The sequence below is a fragment of the Homo sapiens genome, chromosome 4, assembly GCF_000001405.40.
Source record: "Homo sapiens chromosome 4, GRCh38.p14 Primary Assembly".
In the NCBI taxonomy this organism is placed as follows: domain Eukaryota; kingdom Metazoa; phylum Chordata; class Mammalia; order Primates; family Hominidae; genus Homo; species Homo sapiens.
Genome location: NC_000004.12, coordinates 122,943,424 through 122,968,324, shown reverse-complemented (window position 1 = coordinate 122,968,324; position 24,901 = coordinate 122,943,424). Strand labels below are relative to the sequence as shown.

General features: G+C 40.3%; 1 protein-coding gene across 20 annotated transcripts in view, besides 2 other annotated features; it reads right to left on the bottom strand.

The window, feature by feature from the left end:
• AFG2A (AAA ATPase AFG2A) overlaps positions 1-24,901 on the bottom strand; it is a 396,356-nt gene that overhangs the window by 351,109 nt on the left and 20,346 nt on the right. For 14 of the 20 annotated variants that reach the window (XR_007096375.1, XR_007096376.1, XR_007096377.1 and 11 more), the window contains exon 9: positions 20,837-21,092. Coding sequence is in view for 17 of the 20 variants with exons in the window: in NM_145207.3 (NP_660208.2) it covers positions 20,837-21,092 (256 nt within the window). In the remaining 3 variants the exon portion in view is untranslated. The other 6 variants (NM_001438322.1, NM_001437913.1, XM_017007827.3 and 3 more) reach the window with 2 other exon arrangements.
• Positions 22,477-23,003: an enhancer, noted in NCBI's record as "H3K27ac-H3K4me1 hESC enhancer chr4:123866477-123867003 (GRCh37/hg19 assembly coordinates)". NCBI's record gives its function as "activates a minimal SCP1, AML or CMV promoter by ChIP-STARR-seq in naive H9 embryonic stem cells {active_cell/tissue: H9 hESC(naive)}" and the evidence as "EXISTENCE:reporter gene assay evidence [ECO:0000049][PMID:30033119]".
• Positions 23,004-23,531: an enhancer, noted in NCBI's record as "H3K27ac-H3K4me1 hESC enhancer chr4:123865949-123866476 (GRCh37/hg19 assembly coordinates)". NCBI's record gives its function as "activates a minimal SCP1, AML or CMV promoter by ChIP-STARR-seq in naive H9 embryonic stem cells {active_cell/tissue: H9 hESC(naive)}" and the evidence as "EXISTENCE:reporter gene assay evidence [ECO:0000049][PMID:30033119]".

The window sequence follows — 24,901 nt, the reverse complement described above, 5'->3', positions numbered from 1 at the left end:
TCTCTTATGTATACATGCAATACATTGAGAAAGAAGTTTATTTTAAAAAAGTATGTAAAAAGTGTGGCGCAAGTAAAAAAAAACTATAAATAAAGCAACAACACAGAGCTGGTTTAAATAACATTGAGGGATGGTAGTTTTAGAAATTATAAACTGCAGTTTAAAATGAAATATCATTGTATCAATATTAGCTCATCAATTATAACAAAGGTACCACACTAACTCAAGACAGTAATAATGGGAGAAGCTGGAAAAAAGGGAAGTTACATGGAAATTATCTGTACTTTCTGCTTTATTCTTCTGTAAACCTAAAACTGCTCTAAAAAAAGTCTATTAATTTAAAAAAATTTTAATAAAATGAAAAAACTCAGTTCTAAGTATCCATATGTACATATACAATGAAGTTTATTCCTTAATATTTTATTACTAAAACAGGAAAATATCTTTATTTAGAGTACTTTCTAATCAGAATAATTAAAAACATGATGATCTAGGAAAATAAATCCATAAAAAAGGTTTTGGGGCTGAATGCAGTGACTCACACCTATAATCCCAGCACTTCAGGAGGCCAAGGTGGGAGGATCACTTGAGGCCACGAGTTTAAGACCAGTCTCGGCAATACTGCAAGACCCTACCTCTTTAAAAAAATAATAAAAACAGTTTTGGGAATTTTCTATACAGAAATCCTGATCAGGCTCAGAATCATTGCAGGACATATTTATAAGCTGACTAGTGTGCAAAATATACTAGAATACAAAATATAGATTATATGATTTAAAGTATTCACAAAGAGTTTTGATTTGCCAGAATATTTTATACAAACGAATATGGTTGGTATGAAAGGCAGGGTGACTAAAGAAGAAAAACAAAACTTGAGGAGAGAGAACAGCATTTTTTACATGCCGTTACTCTGATTTTTTTTTTAAGAGACAAGGTCTTGCTCTATTACCCAGGCTGGAGTGCAGTGGTACAATCATAGCTGACTGCAGCCTCAACTCCTAGACTCAAGCAATCCTCCCACTTCAGCCTCCCAAGTAGCTAGGACTACAGACACACACTACCACCACCGGCTAATTTTATTTCTCTTAGAGACAGAGCCTTGCTACATTGCCCAGGCTGGTCTCAAACTCCTGGCCTCAAATTATTCTCCTGGCCTGGCCTCCCAAAGTGCTAGGATTGCAGGTGTGAGCCACTGCACCGAACTGGTTTTGAAAATATTTTTTAAAAATAGTTCTCAGTAATGGAACCCCTGTTCTTGTATTTCTTGCCAATTCAGTTACAATTCATGTTAAAGGAAAGCAATTAAAGTATTATTATATCATAAAGCCACTGAGAAGATATATTCATTGACCACAGGAGTTACTCTTTCATGGGCACTCTTTTCAATATTAACTCATCTATTCACTCAAAATATTCAACAAGAACCTCCTAGACATAATTACTTCATTAAACAATTGTACTGAGCTCTTACATATGAGGGTACACAAGAAGGCAAATCAATCTCTCACAGCTAACAGTCTAATAGGAGAGATACATCATAACGCGTAGTTATTATAAACTATGCCAAGTACTGTGACATGGAAAGAACAAAGTGGCACAAAAACACGTCAGGAACATCGAACTCAGTTTCAGGAAGGATTAGTTTACCTAATGACTCTCACAGAAATCATTTAGTACATTCCTTTATTTCACAAATGAAAAACTGAAACATATATCTAAGTTCAAGTAATTAGCCCTGAAAAGTGAATCGATGTTAACCTGATAAAATAGGAATTGGGGCCAAAGAGGCAGCCGACTATTCCAAGCAGGGGGAACAGCATATAAATAGAGACAAGAATGAGCATAGCACTTTAGAGATTAGGAGGCCCTATAGAATAATAAAAGATAAAATCCTAAGTCTCCAGAGTTCAGTCTTATACATATGAAAGAACATGTTTAAATAAACCTACATCCAACTCTATTACTTCGTTTGTAGGTATGTGAGGATATAAAGTATGGTGGATTGTTAGAAAGGAGAAAAGAACAATAGGTAAGTTTACTGATTTGCAAAAGCTATAAAAACGTAAGAGATCCTGGAGACCCCTGCCACAGGCCTTCAGATTCTTTCCCACTCTGAAGTATTGATTCTGGACTCTATATAAACGTATCCTATTTTACACAACAAATGCTATTCTTGAAAATAACATGTAAGTTGAAAAACAGAATTTGTATGAATTAAATGTTAAATATATTATCAAGAGCTTACAGAAATTAAAGATCCTTGGAGCTATAATACTAATGCAACCAATCCTCCATGGCTCTAGGTCTGCCATTAACTAGCTCAGGCACAACTTTAAATAAGACTTAGCCCTTTTGGCCATCAGTTACCTCATTTATTAAATGAAAAGATTAAAATGTATTTTGTCTAATTATTCAAATTTAAATAACTTAAAATTCTATGATGCTAAGTTTAAATTATTGGCCATCACCATTTCTAATAAGGCCATACTGGAACCCATAATGAAAGATTAAATTTTTAAAAATACATATATTTTTAGAAACCTGAAGACAATTAACTAGAAGAACAAATGGACACATGTACATCAAGGAATATGGTTGAAAGTAAGCCATCAACATTTCCTCTTCTCACTAACTTTGGAGTTAATTTTTTAAAAATGTAAGCAAATGCAGAAGCAATACTGCTATGTTAAGAAACACAATTTTGAAATAAAAAAGAGGTGTGGCTAATTCAACAAAAAATGTATCATCTTCTTTTCATTATTTTATTTTCCAGTGCTCTTAAAATTTTTAAGACTGGAAAACAAGATACCTTGAAGGGAAGAAAAGGCAAAATGCTTTAGAGAGCCAAATGTCAACACACTGTTTCCAACGTATGACTTGTATATGACTTGCTCCACCTCAAGCTCTACATCAATATTTCAATATAACCAATTCTGGACAAGAGCAATTATTCTAAACCCATGCTCTTCAAAACCATCTGCTCCAGATGCAAACAACAAACATCATCTTGTCCCCATGTTTATAAAATCCTACAATTTTATACTCAGTGCTTGCTAAGTTATATGTTATTTTTGAGATCACAATTAAGCTCCTTCATTAGAAACTAACAATAAAATTAAACTGATCAGAGAAGTTAACAATCCCTTTTAGAATTACTACCTGCCTACAGAAACTTAATTATATGAAAAGGTAACATAAAACTTGGACATCTGGATCTCATATTTAAATTCTAAAAGTTGAGCATAAAATTTGCTAATGATATACTCACATATATGAAAACAAAGCAAGTATAACAAAAATCTAAGTCTCCTTTTTTTAAAATGTACTTTCCTCAAAATATCAGAACTCTAAAAAATTTGTTTTATTTGGAGTCTTTATTCTCCCTCAACTCTGTATTAAGTATAGACAAGGTGCTAAGTATCACTTGCTGTACCACTAGGAAAGTTTCATTTCTCACTGCCCATTAATAAATAAATTTTTAAAAAATCAAATAGAATATCCTTAAAGGTTATTGTAGTTCTCACCTTATTTATATTATAAGTGACTGCTGTAACTTAAACTGATCAAAGGAGCCAGTCTATTCCAAACCCTCTATCACTTTCAAAAGTTGCTTTTAAAGGTAATGGCACTGTGGAAGGCACATTTGTCTCCAGATCTGAACCTTAAGCCAAGGCTTATTTCTCACTAACTGCTTGAGTTTAAATGTATCACATAGTCTCTCCTCATCTGTGAAATAAGGGAATGTACTAAATTATCTCTGAAAGAGTAGTCGATTATTCTATTCTAGTTGCAGTTTTTGCAATTACTTTTTTTTTTTTTTTTTGAGACAGTCTTGCTCTGTTGCCCAGGCTGAAGTGCAGTGCCATGATTTTGGCTGACTGCAACTTCCTCCTCCTGGGTTCAAGCAATTCTTGTGCCTCAGCCTCCCAAGCAGCTGGGACTACAGGCATGTGCCACCACACCCGGCTAATTTTTGCATTTTTAGTAGAGACGGGGTTTCACCATGTTGGCCACACTGGTCTCGAACTCCTGACCTCAAGTGGTCCACCCGCCTCAGCCTCCCGAAGTGCTGGGATTACAGGTGTGAGCCACTATGCCCAGCCGCAATTACTTTTGCACCAACCTATAGTTGTAAAACATCAAGATTAATTCACTTCACCAGTCCTAGGTTTCAAACTGCCCTAAATACAGTTTCCATTTTCAAATTTTTCATATTTCATTATTTACCTACCTGGCTTAACAACCTTACTAAAATACTGAGTTTTGTTTTTGTTTTTGTTATTTGAAAAAAGGTGATTAGAGTACAATTTGTATGCCAAGAGAAGCTGAAGATTCACAGCTGGGTAGACTAAGTCAGGGCCCAGGTAAGAGAAGAGTAACCAGGAAAATAATAAAGAAATATAGTTAGATTTGGTTTTTACTGGAGACAGGGAGGGATGACAAGGAGGGAGGACTAACTATATTTATCCCTCTTTTATGGAAAGCATAAAAACTCTAAATATTAATAATAATACATCAACAAAACTAAAAAAGAAATTGACAATCACTATATCTGCTTCTTCAACTCTCAATCAATCACCCTTCAATTTATTGCAATCCAGCAGCTAGGCACAAGACACCACTAGAATGTCTCTCTTCCACACTCCCATGACCTCCCAAGTAGGGAACTAAGCACTTTATGTAACTGTGGTCTCTACTGTGATCAACACTGTTGATCCTAGTTCCACTATTTATTACCTGTGTGATCTTGGGAAATTTCCTTAATCTGACATAAGTTTCCTCAACTACAAAATAAAGAGAACCTCAGAGAGCTGCTGTGAGGAAGAAATGTGTTAGTACATACAAGGTGCTTCAAACAGTGGTTGACATAATCCAAGTACTCAATGAGTGTGAACCAATACCCATTATTTCCTCACTGAGTGCTTACCTCATTTCATCTGAGTCACCACTTCTTTGGGTTCTCTTCCCATCTCTCTAGCCACTCCTCAGTTTCCTATACCAAATATTTTTTAACAACCCAACCTTTGAATGACAGTATTTCCCAAGACCTTTCTACTGTATTAGCATTCTGAATGCACCCTGATCATTCACATAACACCCAACACACTGTATTGTACTTATCTTATATACTGTTCCATTTCCCTGTGAGTCTTAGTTTCATGAGGAGAGAGCCCAAGTCTATCTTATTCATTGAGGTAGCCCCACCATCTAGTGCAGTACCTGGCTCAATGAGTGAAGGAACTCTACTCACCTTCTGTTAGTGATTTCATTCTTTCTACAGCTTCACCATGTTAACTACTAACAACTCCCAAGTCCATATCTCTAACCTAGACCTGTCCTCATCTTCAAAACCTATAATTCAAAGTCTTCCAAGTTAGACAATGTAAAAAATAAAGATAGATGAGAGGTGAAAAAGAAACAGTAGGCAGGAAGAAGGTATTTCAATAGTCCAGACAAGAGCTGATGATGGTGTGAACTGTGGTATAGCAGTGAAAGTAGTTAATTTTTTTAAGAGGTCAAATTCTGAATAAGTATGAAAACAGAGCTGACAGGATTAGATAAAAAAAGAGTAAGAGAAAAAAGAATCAAGAATAACTCTCAGAAATAACTTTTATTTAGATAGCCTGGTTTTATTTTTGTGATTGTTTTAATTAGAAAGAAAACCTTTCCTCAAGTTTTATATTTTTATAGTCTTGGCAAAACAACCCAGAAAATCTTCTACTAGCAAAGTAAATAGTATATGTCATTTAGAGCTTAAACAGAATCAAAACTACCACCTCTTTTTCTGAAACAAACCATTCAGTTCCAGTCATCTCAAATGAGTAGCAAAAGTAATACTAAAATACCCACTTCACTGATAAAAATAATTCCATCTCTATATAATATCCATAATATTTACACAGTAGGACAAATCCCAATATCACAAATATAACATTCTATAACTACATTTTAGAATTATAAAACAGAGGAGAAAATTCATTGCCTTATGAAATATGCTGCAAAATTACTGCTTATTTATCTAGCTACAATAATACGTCCCTTGTAAAATGCATTAATTAGAGCAGGGGTCCCCAACCAATGGCCCATGGGCTGGTACTAGCCTATTAGGAACTGGGCTTCACAGCAGGAGGTGGGCAGCAGGCGAGCAAGCATTACTACCTGAGCTCCGCCTCCTATCAGGTCAGCAGTAGCATTAATTCTCCTAGGAGTGTGAACTCCACTGTGAATTGTGCACGTGAGGGAAATAGGTTGTCTGCTCCTTATGAGAATCTAATGCCTGATGATCTGAGGTGGAACAGTTTCATCCGGATATCATCCCCACCCTCTCACCCCAGGTCCATGGAAAAACTGTCTTCCACAAAACCGGTCCCTGGTGCCAGAAAGGTTGGGGACCACTGAATTGGACTGATTATCATGACATATACATCAATTTAACTTGTATTCCTACTACTGTTGCTCTATGACACGCCTACAGCGAACTCACATCTGGGATGACCCAAAGTTCAGCAAGAAAATCTGTCAGCCAGAACAGTGGTTCATGCTTGTAATCCCAGCACTTTGGGAGGCTGAAGTGAGCAGATCACTTGAGGTCAGGAATTCAGGACCAAACTGGTCAACATGGTGGAACCCCGTCTCTATTAAAAATACAAAAATTAGCCAGGCGTTGTAGTGCATGCCTGTAATCCCAGCTACTCAGGAGTCTGAGGAAGGAGAATCATTTGAACCCAGGAGGCAGAGGTTGCAGTGAGCCAAGACTGCGCCACTGCACTCCGGCCTGGGCAAAAAGCGTAAGACTCCGTCTCAAAAAGAAAGAAAATCTGTCAAGGAGGCTACCCAAAAACAAGCCATATCTCTAGTCTGCATATTCTTACTGACGGGCAAGATTTTTACTGATTCAGATTCAGTGAAAATCACTACTTTAGCAAAGCAAAGGATTCTGCCAGAGTTCCCTATCTTTTATACTAGGATAATCAAGAACACTTCATATCAGAAAAATTGCCAAAATCCAAACAAGCTTCTACCAGAGAAATGCATAAATATACGTAAAATACAATTTTTAGAAAATGTTTAAATATCAATTTTCCAGAGGCGAAAGAAGAAAAGGAGAAATTAAGTGACACTTATCAAGGGCCTATATAAACCATCACCACTGCTGCCAGGCTATATTACTAAACCTCATAAGAACTCTTAAAACCATATAGTGTTATCCCTACTTAGCTGGTGAGGATATAAAACCCAAGAGGTTGAATAGCTTGCTCAATGTTTATCAGCTGATAAAGTATAATGATAGCATCTGAATGTAGAGCTCACCATAAGCTTTGCAATAAGTCCCATTATTTCCCTGGACTTTATTTTAAAATATCAAATTTCTACAGTATCAATATTTTAATTCTAACTTAGAAAACAACGTTGACAGAATTGAAAAAATAGTAAAAAATATTAGAAACAGAACCTTTCATAAGAGTTGGACTATTACATACATAGCAGATGCTCCATAAATCCCTGTTAAAGTAAGCTAGTTGGGGGTGGAGGGACAAATGAGCTAAAAATATCTCAGAACACTGGACAAGAGATAAAATTTTCCATCTCAGAAAAAGTTACAATTATTAGATTCGGTATTGCTACTAGACAGATTTAAGTGCTGTAATAACAAAATAATTATTTAAATATGAGTTTTAATTCTTCCTGTTCTGTTATGCTACCTTATCAAGGCCTGAGAATTTGGTAAGAACATGTTGAAATGATGTGTAATTAACAAGGATGCTAAAGACAATTCTTAGAGACGCAAAGCAAATACTTCCTTTCACCATAAACAAAATGACTAAGTCCACTTCTTGAAGAAATCAAGATCTATTTATATTCACTCTCCTGAAATGGCACAGGCAGCCTTAGAAGGATAAGTTTATAATAAATCCCTATATTTGGAAAACATTGTTGTAAGCATCTTCTAACATTCAACAGAGTTTACGAAACTTATGTCACTGCTACATAATTAATATTTCATGTTTTCCCAAAAAATGCAGTATGCTTATCTATGTTGTTAATTTAAAACATTATAAATTTTGAGGGAATTAATAAAAGGCTATGCAACTAATTAATTAGAAAGGCAGCCTAATCCCAGCAGGAATACAAACACAGACACTAAATGTCAGGATGTGTTAGAGTCTAGCTTGTAAACAACTTGCCCATTTGAGATAAAACATTTCAAAATGCAGCTGCTCTTTGCTTTAAAAAGGTGAACTACAAAACATTAGCTCTTTGGACAAGTCACGACATATCAAACCACACTCTAGCTAAAAAATTAATTATAAAGAAAATATAACTTTTGAAAATAAGCTTCACACCCAATCACAAACACCAAACGTTGTTATCTGCTCAGATAATGTGAGATCTAAGGGTTGAAAGCAACACTTCCTATTGTAGTGCTTCCAATTTTCATATTCATTATGGGAACAAAGTTAAAAGATATGGAAAATACTTAGTAACCTGGAATAAAAGATTAGAGATGTTGAGAGTAAGCACACTGTAAAAGACGCATTATCACTCTCACAAAGTATGGATTGTAAACCTTCTATCCTCTGAAAAGGCATGTACAATCTACACAAACACTACAGAGGTTTTGTATTCATATCCTACAAACAATAACCTTTAGATTACAGAAACAATCAGGAAGCATAGCTCACTATGTTCTAAGAAATTCTGAATCACTTCAATTCATGCCATTACTAGACATACGTGCACAACTTTTGTTAAAAAGTACAGAGCTTCCTTCACTATGCGGCAGTCCAGAAGAGGGAAAATCATCAGAGACACAACATATAAAAAGCACAAACATGCAGGTCCACAATCTTAACTAGGAAATACACATGTCTGTACTCTTACTTGTATTCTGAATTGTTAATTAACTGTTTTACTTGTGACTTTTTTTCAGAATTATTTGCCACTTTTAAAGTTTTATTCGGAACCATTATACATAACTGAAAAACTTAAGACATTCATTTTCTCTTGAGTGGCAAAGTTAAATGATAGTTTGGAAGAGCACATTACTATCACAAAAAACTTCTGGGAGGAAACGCAACAACACTATTAGAGACGGTCAAAGAATTTCAATCCCTAAATTTAATCCAGTTATTTAAATCAGTTAGAGAATCTCCAAAAACTGGGTAGTTGGTTGCCCTAGATCAGTGATTCTCAAAGTACAGTTCTTGGACCAGCAGCAATGACATACCTGCAAGCTTGTTAGAAATGCAAATCTGGGGCCCCACTTGGACCTTCTGGACCTACAGGAATCAGCAGGATAGACCCCAGAACTGTGTTTTCACGAGCTCTACAAATGCTTCTTACATAGGTTGGAGAACCACTTGCCTAAATCAGCGAATCAAATGTCCAGTCACAGACAAGGGCAAGACTGGCTGCTTCAAAATCACTTGGAAAACATTATAGATCCTGCCTCCAGCTTCCTAACTCCCTTAAACACTTAATTATGAGTGGGAATGTGACTGTGAGCATGAGTGAATGTGTAGTTTCCCAGGTGAGCCTGATGCATAATGAGGTTTAGGAACTAATGCCCTATAGGTCAATAGCTCTCAAAGTGTGGTCTCCAGATCAGCCGCATTAGCACCAGCATTAGCATCACCTGGGAACTTGTTAGCATTCTCAGGCACCAGCTCAGACCTACTGAATCAGAAACTCTTGTCAGGGGGATTCAGTAACCGAGTTTAGTAAATTCTACAGGTGATTCTCATATAATAATGTTTAAGACTCTTTGCTCTAAGTGATTGGTCCTGAATTAAAAACATGTGAAACAAACCTGAATTCCGTGGGGAAGAATAAATAATAGAAAGAGATAGATTTAACCTACATACCCAGAAATACATCTGGAGATGGAGTCTCTTAGTGTCAAACTCACGAATCTGGTCAAGATGCCTTAACTACCCATATATGCCAGTGGCCATTTACAAGCACTCCATTTAAACATAGCACAACTGGTGAACAATGAAAACACCTCCTGAAAAGCACTTGTTTTAAACAAATGTAGTTAAAGGCCGTATCAGAGCCAAAGCTTGGAAATCTGTCAGTGGGAAGGCAAAAATGGACTAAAACCAGTTATTTAAAGCAGCCTCACTGTCCTACATTTTTGAAGATTACACAGAACATATAACTTGCTCATTGCTACTTATAAAGGCAGGAATAACCACTTCAGAGTTCTTTCCTCAGCGCAAAGCAGAGATTTCTGAAGGCAACAAAGAGTGGAAAAAAAGAGATGATTCCCAAGGTGTTTACAAACAAAACTAAGCTCAACTCTAAAATTAATAAACACTATTCCTTTATCAAGGGTGTATAGGGTAATAATTATGTCTCCTAGATTTCACACATATTTCTCAAATTATTCTTCAACTAATCAAATACTTATTGAGCACCTATAATATACCAGAAGTCATTAATATTGCCTCCAAATATTAAGATATTACCATGACTCTTTAAAAAAACAATTATTCTAACTTTCTGGGTAATTCTAAGATCAGTGTAATGATTGTGACTGCTTGCACCTGCCCAAGGAAACTTATCATGTTTAACAACAACAACAACAACAAAAAACAGATGTGAGTTCAAACTTGTGTAGGCAGTTATTTCAAAGGACTGAGAGCAACTCAAATTATTCCCTAATAACTGCTGTAACCTGAGGTGGAATGCAACACCAAATGTCCAATTCTTTTTATTTAAAGCTAAGAGAGTAGTTCAAATCTACCATGCAGAATGAATGTTTTTCCCTATGCTCAATGCACACATCATAGTAAACAGGAATGCTGCTGTTATGTTCGATAAGTGGGATACACTTATGCCTATTCTATAGCACTTGGAACATAGTCCTACTACTTCAAATGCTTATAGTTTCCCAATTGTTTCAGCTTTCTAAGTCACACTACTAATCAAACTGGTAATTTACTCTGTCTTTAGTCAGAAATTATAAAACTGTTCCAATGAGAAAATGCAGTGCACTTCACAACCAACATTAGTCTGCTTTATAGCACTGTTTCTAAGAACACCATGGGAAAACCCTAACTACATAAGTGTAAGTCATTCACACAGATACAAAAGAGAAGACCACTGAAAATAGCCGATGAGGCCTGAAGAGGCTTAGGGCTTTTTCTTTACCTTCTTTCTCCCTTTCCTTTTTCTAATTCTTCCTATCCTTCTTTTTCTTCCATTTTTTTCTTGTTCTCCCTTACGTCCAGGGAATGTCATAATGCATTATGACACTAAAATATCATCTACTCCAATCTCCTCAATTTACAAATGGAGAAAACTGAGGCTCAGATAAGGCATAGAACCTGTCTAAGATCACAAGCCTGATTTTAAAAGCAAGTCTGTCCAACTCTCAAAACCTATTCTACACTATACCACCCTGCCTCATTAGAAAATTCTCTTGCAAAAATTCCAGCATACTGTTTTCAAATTTTATTCTGCTATATAAAGTTAAGAAAATGATACTACATAATACAACATACACTAGTATTTGGGACAGTATACACAAAACCAAACATATTTTCCCTACTGGATTCTGTAATTAGAACACTAATCTTTTTAAAAACTACTCCTCATAGGCGGAGCTTGCAGTGAGCCGAGATCACGCCACTGCACTCCAGCCTGGGCGACAGAGCAAGACTCCATCTCAAAATAAATAAATACATAAATAAAACTACTCTTCATAATCTGATTCATTGCTAGATTAGGGGAAAATAGATCAGTTCAACACCTGCATATTTTCTACTTTATCAACTGATGCTCTCCTTACTTTATCAACTGATGCTCTCCTTAGTATCATACGCTAAAATTAAATTATAAAGTCTTATACCCCTCTAAACAAGATCCACCTTTTATTAGTTTTAATTAAGAGCATGAAGTTGAAGTAAGATGACCTTGGCTTTAAATCCCAGCTCTGCTGGATACTCGCTCTGAGGCCTTTCTTGAGTCTGTCTGATACTTCTATCACAGGGTTGGTAGGAGGATTCAATCAAATAATGTTTTCCTTTTCTCACTTTCTCACTGTAGAACTCCTACTCTAAGCTTCTTCTTAGATGTCATTTTTTCTATTTAACCACAGTATTTGCTTTCCTCACAGAAGTCACTACATTTTTACATTTTTATGAGTAGTTTATCATTATATTTGTAGTTGTTTACAAATCTCTTTCCTTCATCAGACAGTGTATTTCTGGACAGCAAAAATTCCAGAGCCTTCTAGAGTGCATAAAATGTATTAGAAAGTCAAAAAGTCTCTAGTAAGGCATGCTGAACATGGCAAGTCCTACAGAGCAACACCTACACAGCAATCCAGACTCTTCATTACCACCTTATGCAATGAAAGAAGCAAAGCTATCTACTGATACTTCTGCTTTTTGATCCCTAGGTAATCCATTTCTACGACCAGGCCCACTAATCCCTGTGACGCTAGAAGCAGCTTCACAGAAACTAGACAGAGTGAGACCCAGTCCTAGAGCAAAATGTACCAAAAGAATGTTTGTATTTGCCTTGATAGTCTACATAACCTGCAGTCTCTCCCAACTGTGATTCCTATAACCTAGAAATTGTGGTAATGATCAAATAAAATGAAAGAAAAACGATTTTCTCCACCAACAGTAAGATATTCAAAGATTCCTAAATATCTCTTCCAAGTTTTCTTTTCCTAACTGTTTTTCCTTCTTGAGCCTCTTTCCCTACATATATCAGTCCAGATAAAAGGTCAAAAAGACTAAAGGCAGGGTCTTCAAAGCCTACTAAATTAGACAACTATGAGTCAATGATTTGGAGGTAAAAGTTATTGCATTTGTATTTCTGAACTAAAGCTCTAAAATAACTGCAATGGTTTGAATGTCCCTTCCACAACTCATGTTGAAATTTAATTGATATTTTTATTGTATTAAGAGGTAGGACCACTGGGAGGCGATTAGGCCATGAGACCGTAACAACATTAATCCTCAGGAATGGATTAATGCCATTACGGTGGGAGTGGGTGTATGGCAAATGCACCTGAGAGCAATAACTTAAGAAAGGAGGGTTGCCACGTGAAGGCTGCTGCACGGAGGGTGCCAAATAAAAGTGCTATATAAGCTGCATGCTTTTTGCAAGCAGTTGAGGTTCTCCTGTCTAGTCCACCACCACTGGACTGTCCCTGTATGTTAGTTCTCCCTAATAAAACCCTATGTCTTGTTTGCTAGCTCCAGGTCTCTTTTGCCTCTTGAACCTGGTGCCATCCTTACAGAAGTTAACACGGACTCAGTACCACAACTGGTGAACCCAGCAGGAAGGTGGAGAAAAATTTCATGAGCACCGAGACCGTAAGATCAGGAAAGGGGAAATCCAAGGGGGGGTCCCGGGCTGACCATCACATTTATGTGGTGCCCAAAAGCCACTATCCTTGATGGATGGGACCCAATGTATGAGTACAGAACACCCCAAAAACACCGAAGGGTCTGGAAGAGCTGTTGCAGGGGGTGGATCTAACTAAGCAAAAGTTAGATGCCTGAGCTGTGGCAGCCACAATGGCTGGCCATTCTTGACTGTGCTCCCAGCAGCCACTGAGGCTGAGCTCCCAGCACAGGCCAGGGGTTGTCTGTTATAGGAAGAACTATGAGTAGAAAGAGATGCCAGACTAGCTCAACCTAAAACATCAGAGACCCTACTGTCCTACCTGCAGAAACAGGATGACAAAATGGAAATCCCAGCTTGTCAGGTAGCCTGTTTGAAGGGTCGCCAGCTCCCATGCCAAGTTAGGACTATATGACTAAATCTTCCTAAGTCCAGGGACCCAGTGGAGAGCTCTAGTGAGGAGCAGAGTGAGGACTGGGATAAGCCCATAGAGGTCCTGTTCTCTCTACCAAGATAAAGTCAGACCAATGGTGCCTGCAGGGAGTAGACCCACAAAACTTGTCTCTGCCTGAAAGATGGTAGCATACCACAATGCAGCACTACACCACTATGGAACTAGTGGAGCTGGGCAGAAGGTGGGTTCAGGAAGAGAGACAGTTGATTGAGAGGTGGCTTCTCTGTCTATGGGACACGGGGATGGAGGGTGTTATACTCTCCAGACTCAAGATGAGTGGAATGGCATACATCGCATGCCACCCAGCCCTGAGGCAGCACCTCTATGGTGCCAACAATGAGGATCAGGCCATGCCCCTCCTTAGCTGGGTGGTTGTGGGCTGCAATGAAGCGTGGCCAGATGAGGGCAGTATCCCCATATCTCCTTTGTGATGGCAGACTATGGAGGAATTGCAGGACATCATCTGGAAATTAGGGATGAAACATGCTATCTATGCTGAACATCACCAAGGTCCAACAAAGAGCTTTTCACTGCCAACATGAAAGACACCATCTTAGTCTGCACTCAACCAATGGTATGGTGTGCTAGTGTCTACCCAGAGCCCCCTAGTAGGACAGCCAGTGTCTCAGGTGGCCCAAGCAGCCACCAACTTATGAGAAATGGAGAAACTGCATAGGCAAAGGGTACGTGCTGCTGGGATGAAAGACAAGGGCGCCAAAGGAAAGGAGATGGCCAAGGGGCCCATCAGGGTGACTGACCAACAAATGTGGCACAACCTGGTAGTGGCAGGAACAGCTACTATGAAAACAGATAAACAGCCTAATGCTGTTCTGGTCAGACTGTGGCAGAAGCTCACACCAGAAGAGTGCTTCACTAAGGAGCCTCAGGTTCAGCCCGCCACCCTTCCTGCAGAGGGATAGCAAGTGTCAACCCTGTTAGACTGGATGAAAGCCAAGGCCCCAGAACCCTGATAAGAGTAATGGTGGCCAGGGTACCTGGGGACCAGAGGCCACATGTAGAACTAACTATATATTGGTCGCCTAAGAATAAACACACTGTGCGTGCCCTAGTGGATACTAGAGCCAAATGCACTTTCATATATGGTGACATTCGTTGGTTCCAAGGGGCTAAAATGGCAAAAGATGGTTATGGATGGGGATCAGAAAGGTTGAACTGTCTGAGTATTACAAGTTGAGAGACTGCCACCAAAACCCTATTTAGTATGTATAGCTCCCATCTTGGAATACATCTTGAGAATGGATATCTTATCAGGCTTGACCCTCCAAACAACTGCTGGGGAGTTCTGACTGAGAGTGGTGAAGCATGTGACCAAGGGGAATGCGAAATGGACACCAGTCTAGTTGCCAACCCCACACAGCAAGTAGTAGCACTGAGGCAATACTGCCTGCTGGGGGGACATAATGAAACCACAGGGATTGTTAAGGAGTTAGCCCAAGGAGGCATTACAAGGCCAGTGCACAGCCCATACAACAGCCATGTACGGCCCATGTGGAAGCCTGATGGGACATGGACAATGACACTAGATTACTGGGAATTAAGTAAGGCAGTCCCCCCAATGTATGCACATGTTCCCAATATCACCTCCCTTCTAAAGAGGGCGGGAGAGGCACTGGACACATACCACTACCACTCTGTTACTGATTTAACCAATGCCTTCTTCAGCATCCCCATTGCCGCAGAGAGTCAAGACCAATTTGCATTCACCTGGGAAGAACAATAGACTTTTACCATCTTGCCCCAGGGATATTTATATAGCCATGGAGGTCCTGGAAGGGGTACACATTTTCCATTACAGTGATGATATCGTGCTAACTTCTGAGTCTTTTTCCAGCTTTCAAACTGCGCCCTCACACCTTGCTGCCTCATCTGGCAAACAGGATGAGCTATAAACACAGACAAAAATCCAGAGTCCAGGCTTATCAGCCAAATACTTGAGTCTGCCATTATGGATAGGGTGCAGGCCTACTCACATCGTGTGACACCAAAGCAGCTATAAATCTTCTTAGGACTCCTAGGGTATGGGCATCATTTTATTCCTCATTTGGCCCAACTCCTTAGACCCCTATACTGTTTAGTCAAGAAGGGGGCCCACTGAGACTAATCCACGAAGAAGGATGAGGCCTTTGAACCAGCTGAAGTCACAGTGAAATAAATACAAGCCTTGTGAGTTCAGGTGCAGAGACAGCCTGTGAACTAGATGTAGCCAGTTACCTTGAGGGGTTTGGGTGAGGCCCGTGGCAAAGGCAGAGACATACATATGCGCCTTTAGGATTCTGGTCCCAGCTACGGAAAAAGGGTGCAGTTAGATACAGTGTGATGGAACAACAACTCTGTGCTATACATTATGCCTTACAACAAGTAGAGGACATTACAAAAGGGGTCCTGATGCTAGTATGCAGCCAGTACCCCAAAGCAGGTTGGCTAAAGGGTATCTTCCAGAAACTGAAGTCTGGGAATGCCCAGACACAGACTGTGGCCAAATGGCTTACATACCTGCAACAAAGGAGCACATTAATAGCCCCTTGAGCTCAGAGCTCCATTCAGTGCTTGGCCCTGTCATCTATGTAACAACTGTCACATAGTCTTTTAGGGAGGCTGCTGAGCCTCCACAGATGCTCTCCTTCATACAGGATAGACAGGGCCCAATGTCTGACCGCCCAATGACTGACCAGGCCTGGTACACAAACAGCTTGTCACGAGGCAATCCTTGCACTTGAGCAGGCATAGCCATCCAGCCATCCACTGACAGGATCTGGATTGATGATACAGGCCAAGGACATAGCAGCCAATGAGCTGAGCTGCAAGCTGCCAGGATGGTCCTCCTCTATAAGCCAGACCCAGCAGTCCTGTGTACTCACAGGTGGGCTGTCTGAAGTTAACAGGCATCCGGCATGACATTCCTTAAGGAAAATTGTGATTCTCCAGTACACATTTCTCCCTGATTTCCACAGCACGATATATCAATAAATATTGTCTTCATCAATACTGCCAACAATGCATCTGATTACATGTGTGTGCGTGCGTGTGTGTGTGTGTGTGTGTGTGTGTACTTTGGAAAAGTCTGATAGGATACAGTCATCCCTTAGTATCTATGGGGTATCGGTTCCAGGACCCCTAAGATACCAAAATCTAAGGACAGCTCAAGCCTCTTATATAAAATGGCACAGTATTTGCATGTAGCCTATGTACATCCTCCCATATAATTTAAATAATCTCTAGATTACTTTTACCTAATCCAATGTAAAGGGACTCACCATGTGGCTACTACAATGGGAAGCACAGGACTAGACAGTAGCAGGTCACCTCCTTTGGTGCCCTGACATGTAGAAGGACATTCCCCATTGCATCTGGGGGATGCATAAAATGATCTACCATGTGGATCCCCACACTGCATCTACACCAACCTGGAAATCAACAGGCAGACAAATTAACCTGCATTCGTCTCCTCAAGGGAGTCCCCACAGACGATGTGGTCAACTGGTTACAAAAGAAGACAGGACATAGGGGACAACTTACCCTTTGGGCCATAGCAAAGAATTGGAGCCTGCCACTATGATACAAAGACACAGTACACATCTGTCAGCAATGTCTTACCCGTGCACAGGAACACCCCAGGCCCTTGCCACCTGATACCAGAAAGATCACCCAGGGCCAGAGCCCAGCACAATGGTGGCAGGTAGACTACATAGGATCTTTGCCCCTATTGGATGGCTGCCACTATGCCTTAACTTGTGCAGAAACCTGCACAGGGCTACAACGAGCATAACCCAGCAAGCATGCCACCATAAAAGGACCAGAACAGATGTGTGCAGCCTACAGCGTCTCCATCAATAGTGACAATGGGCCAGACACAGTGGCTCACGCCTGTAATCCCACCACTTTGGGAGGCTGAGGCGGGTGGATCACCTGAGGTCAGGAGTTTGAGACCAGCCTGCCCAACATAGTGAAACCTGTCTCTACTAAAAATACAAAAAATTAGCCAGGTGTGGTGGTACACACCTGTAATCCCAGCTACTCAGGAGGCTGAGGCAGGAGAATTGCTTGAACTCAGGAGGCGGAGGTTGCAGTGAGCCGAGATCGCGCCATTGCGCTCCAGTCTGGGCAACAAGAGCGAAACTCCATCTCAAAAAAAAAAAAAAAATTAACAATGACTAGGGCTCGTACTTTACCAGATATAAAGTACAAGAATAGGCAGAGGCCCTGGATATCCACTGGCATTTTCACCTGCCGTACAACCCTACAGCAGTGGGGCTGACTGAACAAATTGAATGGACTGTTGAAACAACTCCTATAGGAGTTGGCTCTGTGGACACGCTGCTTACCAGCAGCCGTGCACAAACTGAATAAATATGCACATTCTCATCACCCCATCATGTATACTCTTCTAACACAAGGATGTGATACGACCATCAGGATACAGGTAGACAGGGTAAGGGACAGCAGACCTTTGCCCCCAACCTGGGACACAAAGTAATCTGCTATGGCCCTTGCCACAGGACCAACCTACTGGGGAGCACATCATTACGTGGTTCTGGGAAATGGCAAACCAGCCCGATGGTTCAGTTTTTCTGCTCCATGGGGGAAGGGCCTAGAACAGGATATATATGTCACACCTATTTCATACCATACTCTCCACTGTAATTCTAAAATAATGAATCCTAGTCCTCCCTTGTGCAAGGGGATGAACATCCTCTCATGAAACACTATACCTCCACTGTCTTCCTCTGGCCTCCTGCAACACATTACAGAGGGGAGCCAGTCCATTTGGTATTGTAAACCAGGCATCAGGCTGCTGCCAGGGGTGGTGCTCTCTCAGAATGACACAACTCCCCATGTCTTGTTAAATGGCCAGGACTTGTCCTTTCTTGTACCCACTAAACAACTCACCTTTTGCCCATAGATGGTGTGCCGCAAACCTCTTTGCTGACTGGGTGCAGATGGTTATCTCTCTCCAGAAGAAAACAGACTGCTGGGTCTGCGGAGAGCTCCCCCTCTCCTCCGCTGTGGGCCTGCCATGCCACACCAAGGCAGTTAACATGAGTACCTGGGGCCACTTCGATACTTGGTATAGTGACCTTCACCTATTCCCCTTCAGCGACAACAGCACCTCATGCAGCAAGTTTCCCACCACCAACAACGTGAGATGGCATATTTTCCGCCTGGTAAAGGAGCAAGTTAATGTCACTCCCCACTGTAGGTAGGCTGTACACAATGATGGGCTAGAGTGGATGACAGCAGTGAGACAGAGATAGTGTGTCATGCACCCTTCTTTGTAAAATTGCATGGCCCTGGACATCTTAACTGCCCCCACAAGGGCGGAACCTATGGATTAATTAAAACCTGTTGTGTATGTATTCCTGATGACTCTCACGATCTAACCCAGGCCATGCAGGCCTTAAATACCCATATTTCCACTACAGAATCTAAGTCTTAAAACCCTATAACCACGTGTTTTAATCAACTCCTAAGCCCTTGAAAAACTTTCTATACAGTATGATTGTTATTATATTTGTTATTCTTTTTTGTTATTGTAGTTTATATTGCTACTGCAGCATCTGGCTGCAATGCTCCTCCACATACCTGGCCCCAGGGATCTCATGACAGAAAGGCATAAGAATGTGAGGGCCACGCAAGGGTATGCTGGTGCGGAGTATATGGCAGATGCACCTGAAAGCAATAACTTAAGAAAGGAGGTTGCCATGTGGAAGTTGCTGGGGGGAGGATGCTAAGTGAAAATGCTATACAAGCTGCATGCTTTTTGCAAGTGATTGCAGTTCTCCTGTCCAGCCCATCACCACTGGGCCGCCCTGTAAGTAAGTTCTGCCAAATAAGCCCTAAGTTTCATTTATTGGCTCTGGGTCCCTTCTTTGGCCTCTCAAACTTGGTACCATCCCACTGAAGTTAATAGGGGTCCAGCATGACACTCAATTTTAAGGAAAATTGTGATTCTCCAGTTTACACTTCTCCCTGATTTCCACAGCACAGCACAATATATCAATAAATATTGTCATCATCAATACCGCCACCAATGGATCTGATTACATGTCCGTGTGTGTGTGTGTGTGTGTGTGTGTGTGTGTGTGTGTGTGTGTGTATACTCTGGAGAAGTCTAGTAGGATATAGTCATCCCTTAGTATCTATGGAGTATTTGTTCCAGGACCCCTAAGATACCAAAATCTAAGGACTGCTCAAGCCCGTTAATGGCATAGTACTTGCATATAGACTACACACATCCTCCCGTATAATTTAAATAATCTCTAGATTACTTTTACCTGATCCCATGTAAATGCTATGTAAATACAGTTGACCCCTCAACAACTTGGGGGTCAGGGACACCAATCCCTGTGCAGTCAAAAAACTATGCATAACTTCTGACTCCCCCAAAAACTAACTACTAATAGCCTATTGTTGACCTGAAGCCTTGCCAATAATATAAACAGCTGATTAACCATATTTTTTATATGCATTATATGCTGTATTCTTACAATAAAGTAAGCTAAAGAAAAAGCAAGCTTTTTCAAATTGTTGCAAATCTCCAAAAAATTTTCCAATATATTTATTGAAAAATATTCATATATAAGTGGACCCATGCAGTTCAAGCCCTCATAGTTCAAGGGTCAACTGTAGTTGTGATACTATATTTTTTAAGTTTTTATTATTTTTTACTGTTTTAACTTTTTTTTCCTGAATATTTTCAGACCACAGTTGGTTGACTCCTCAGATGCTGAGCCCAAGGATATGGAGGGCTGACTGTATACACTATAATGGTGGTTATCCTTTAGAGGTAGGATTGAGTGATTTTTATTTTTTTTTATAGTCTTCTGAATCATCTAGGTTTTTCCAATAAAAATTTTTTCAAATAAAAATTACACATTTTATAATTAGAAACAAAGCTACTTCCATTAAGAAATCTGTAAAATATAAATTATTTGTATGTAAGTAAACTGGAGATAAGTGCATCAATAGAGACTCACCATAGCAAACCACACTCACCTGCTTCATTACACAAGACTTTCAAGTCTGCTCCAACGTATCCATGAGCACTATTTGCCAGCTGCAGCAGCTCAGCCTCAGTGAGCAAATGGGGTACCCTTCGAAGCAGTTTCTGGAGAATATCTAGCCGGTCCTGAGCATTGGGAACTCCAATCTCAATCTCTTTATCAAATCGCCCAGGTCTTCGGAGAGCAGCATCCAAGGCATGAGGGCGATTTGTGGCCCCAAGAACCAACACTTGTCCTTCACTTACTTCCTAACAAAATAAAATGAAAATAAATTTATTTTTCTGAAAGTTAGAAAAAAAAAAGTGAGAGGCACACACTGGCTGTATAGACAAGGATGAAACATCTAACTGTCCAGGCTACTAAGTCCTATTTCTTACGCTTTCATTACCTATCAATTACTTTTATTAGTAATACATTTTTATTATACATTTATTACTTTTATTATACATTTTTCAGTGTTCAGCCTAAATGCTTCCTCCTGTAGAAAGTTTTACAATACTCACCTCTCCATCTACTATGACATCTCTCTTACTTCTCACATCTTAACTGTATCATTCTCATAAAAAATAACATATATATAATATGTACCATATAATTGTTTTAATTGTTTTAAACAGTCCTTTTCCCCTACTTGAAAGTCAGGATTCTGACACATATAATACTCAAATAGAACAAGATTCTATTAGAAAGTTATCTAAAAAGTCTTCGCTTATAGACTAGTTTTTTTAATATGGATACATTTTTAAATTCCTGAAAATAAGAGTCAACAATATAACCAATATCCAAGTATCAGCCACATTTGAATATATAGGTATTTTTACTCTCTGAAAATGAAATTAGGAAAACCAAATAATAAAGAACTATGATCATGATCAGCCACCTGTAGAAATTATCCAATATTCTATTCAGATGACCCAGAGACAAGCATAACTGGAATGCAATTTATGTTAAAAAAAAAAATTTAAAAAAAGCTCAAACCTAATCAATTATACTGAATGTGCCAACAGACAATGCATGGACTACAGCGAATCTATGAATTATAAGTTTAGAAGTACAAAAACAGACCCTTAAAAATATTCAGACTAAAACATCAGTATCACATGTTTCCATTCCTTGCCCAAAGGCAAGAATACTAATCCACAACAGGCTTATCCCAGTGGCAGAGAAAGAGACAGCAGATTGAAATAATTAAGATTCTCCAACACTAAGCCTTTCATCTGATTTCCTACCTACCAAGAACCCTTGTAATTATAAGACAGCTCTCTATATTTGCCATCAAGGTGAAAATATGGTCATCCATAAACACAAACATTTGGTCTGCTTAACAGTCACATCTCTTACTGTAAATGGACAAACTAGGACACTATTTTATACATGATTCTCTTGTAAGTGTTATTATCATGGGTCAGTCTGTCCTCACAACTCTATCATCTCCAGCCTACTAATAACACTGAATTCTTCAACTTTATAACCTGAGAATCAACCTGGGACATGAAAATCACTCCTAGGTACTGTTCCAAGACTGAGAACCAGTTAGTCAGGCAGCCTCCACCAGGTGACAACCCTTCTCTTACAGACTCTTAAAATTACTAACACGTTAGTATATAAGTGACTTAGTGCCAAACCTTTATATTATTTTCACATATTTACTTTCTGCCACTAGACAGTAAAAAACAAAAAGTTCGGGGAGGAGCCAAGATGGCCGAACAGGAACAGCTCCGGTCTACAGCTCCCAGCGTGAGCAACACAGAAGACAGGTGATTTCTGTATTTCCATCTGAGGTACCAGGTTCATCTCACTAGGGAGTGCCAGAAAGTGGGTGCAGGACAGTGGGTGCAGCGCACCGTGTGCGAGCCGAAGCAGGGTGAGGCATTGCCTCACTCGGGAAGTGCAAGGGGTCAGGGAGTTCCCTTTGCTGGTCAAGGAAAGGGGTGACAGACAGCACCTGGAATATCGGGTCACTCCCACCCTAATACCGCGCTTTTCCGATGGGCTTAGGAAACGGTGCACCAGGAGATTATATCCCGCACCTGGCTCGGAGGGTCCTACGCCCACGGAGTCTCGCTGATTGCTAGCACAGCAGTCTGAGATCAAACTGCAAGGCGGCAGTGAGGCTGGGGGAGGGGCGCCCGCCATTGCCCAGGCTTGCTTCAGTAAACAAAGCAGCCGCAGCCCGGAAGCTTGAACTGGGTGGAGCCCACCACAGCTCAAGGAAGCCTGCCTGCCTCTGTAGGCTCCACCTCTGGGGGCAGGGCACAGACAAACAAAAAGACAGCAGTAACCTCTGCAGACTTAAATGTCCCTGTCTGACAGCTTTGAAGAGAGCCGTGGTTCTCCCAGCACGCAGCTGGAGATCTGAGAACAGGCAGACTGCCTCCTCAAGTGGGTCCCTGACCCCTGACACCCGAGCAGCCTAACTGGGAGGCACCCCCAGTAGGGGCAGACTGACACCTCACACGGCCGGGTATTCCTCTGAGACAAAACTTCCAGAGGAACGATCAGACAGCAGCATTCGCGGTTCAGGAAAATCCACTGTTCTGCAGACACCGCTGTTGATACCCAGGCAAACAGGGTCTGGAGTGGACCTCTAGCAAACTCCAACAGACCTGCAGCTGAGGGCCCTGTCTGTTAGAAGGAAAACTAACAAACAGAAAGGACATCCACACCAAAAACCCACCTGTACATCACCATCATCAAAGACCAAACAAAGATAAAACCACAAAGATGGGGAAAAAACAGAGCAGAAAAACTGGAAACTCTAAAAAGCAGAGTGCCTCTCCTCTTCCAAAGGAACGCAGTTCCTCACCAGCAACAGAACAAAGCTGGACGGAGAATGACTTTGACAAGTTGAGAGAGGAAGGCTTCAGACGATCAAACTACTCCGAGCTACGGGAGGAAATTCAAACCAAAGGCAAAGAAGTTGAAAACTTTGAAAAAAATTTAGGCGAATGTATAACTAGAATAACCAATACAGAGAAGTGCTTAAAGGAGCTGATGGAGCTGAAAGCCAAGGCTCGAGAACTACGTGAAGAATGCAAAAGCCTCAGGAGCCGATGCGATCAACTGGAAGAAAGGGTATCAGTGATGGAAGATGACATGAATGAAATGAAGCAAGAAGGGAAGTTTAGAGAAAAAAGAATAAAAAGAAACAAACAAAGCATCCAAGAAATATGGGACTATGTGAAAAGACCAAATCTACGTCTGATTGGTGTACTTGAAAGTGACGGGGAGAATGGAACCAAGTTGGAAAACACTCTGCAGGATATTATCAAAGAGAACTTCCCCAATCTAGCGAGGCAGGCCAACATTCAGATTCAGGAAATACAGAGAACGCCACAAAGATACTCCTCGAGAAGAGCAATTCCAAGACACATAATTGTCAGATTCACCAAAGTTAAAATGAAGGAAAAAATGTTAAGAGCAGCCAGAGAGAAAGGTCAGGTTACCCACAAAGGGAAGCCCATCAGACTAACAGCGGATCTCTCGGCAGAAACTCTACAAGCCAGAAGAGAGTGGGGGCCAATATTCAACATTCTTAAAGAAAAGAATTTTCAACCCAGAATTTCATATCCAGCCAAACTAAGCTTCATAAGTGAAGGAGAAATAAAATACTTTACAGACAAGCAAATGCTGAGAGATTTTGTCACCACCAGGCCTGCCCTAAAAGAGCTCCTGAAGGAAACACTAAACATGGAAAAGAACAACCGGTACCAGCTGCTGCAAAATCATGCCAAAATGTAAAGACCATTGAGACTAGGAAGAAACTGCATCAACTAATGAGCAAAATAACCAGCTAACATCATAATGACAGGATCAAATTCACACATAACGATATTAACTTTAAATGTAAATGGACTAAATGCTCCAATTAAAAGACACAGACTGGCAAACTGGATAAAGAGTCAAGACCCATCAGTGTGCTGTATTCAGGAAACCCATCTCACGTGCAGAGACACACATAGGCTCAAAATAAAAGGATGGAGGGAGATCTACCAAGCAAATGGAAAACAAAAAAAGGCAGGGCTTGCAATCCTAGTCTCTGATAAAACAGACTTTA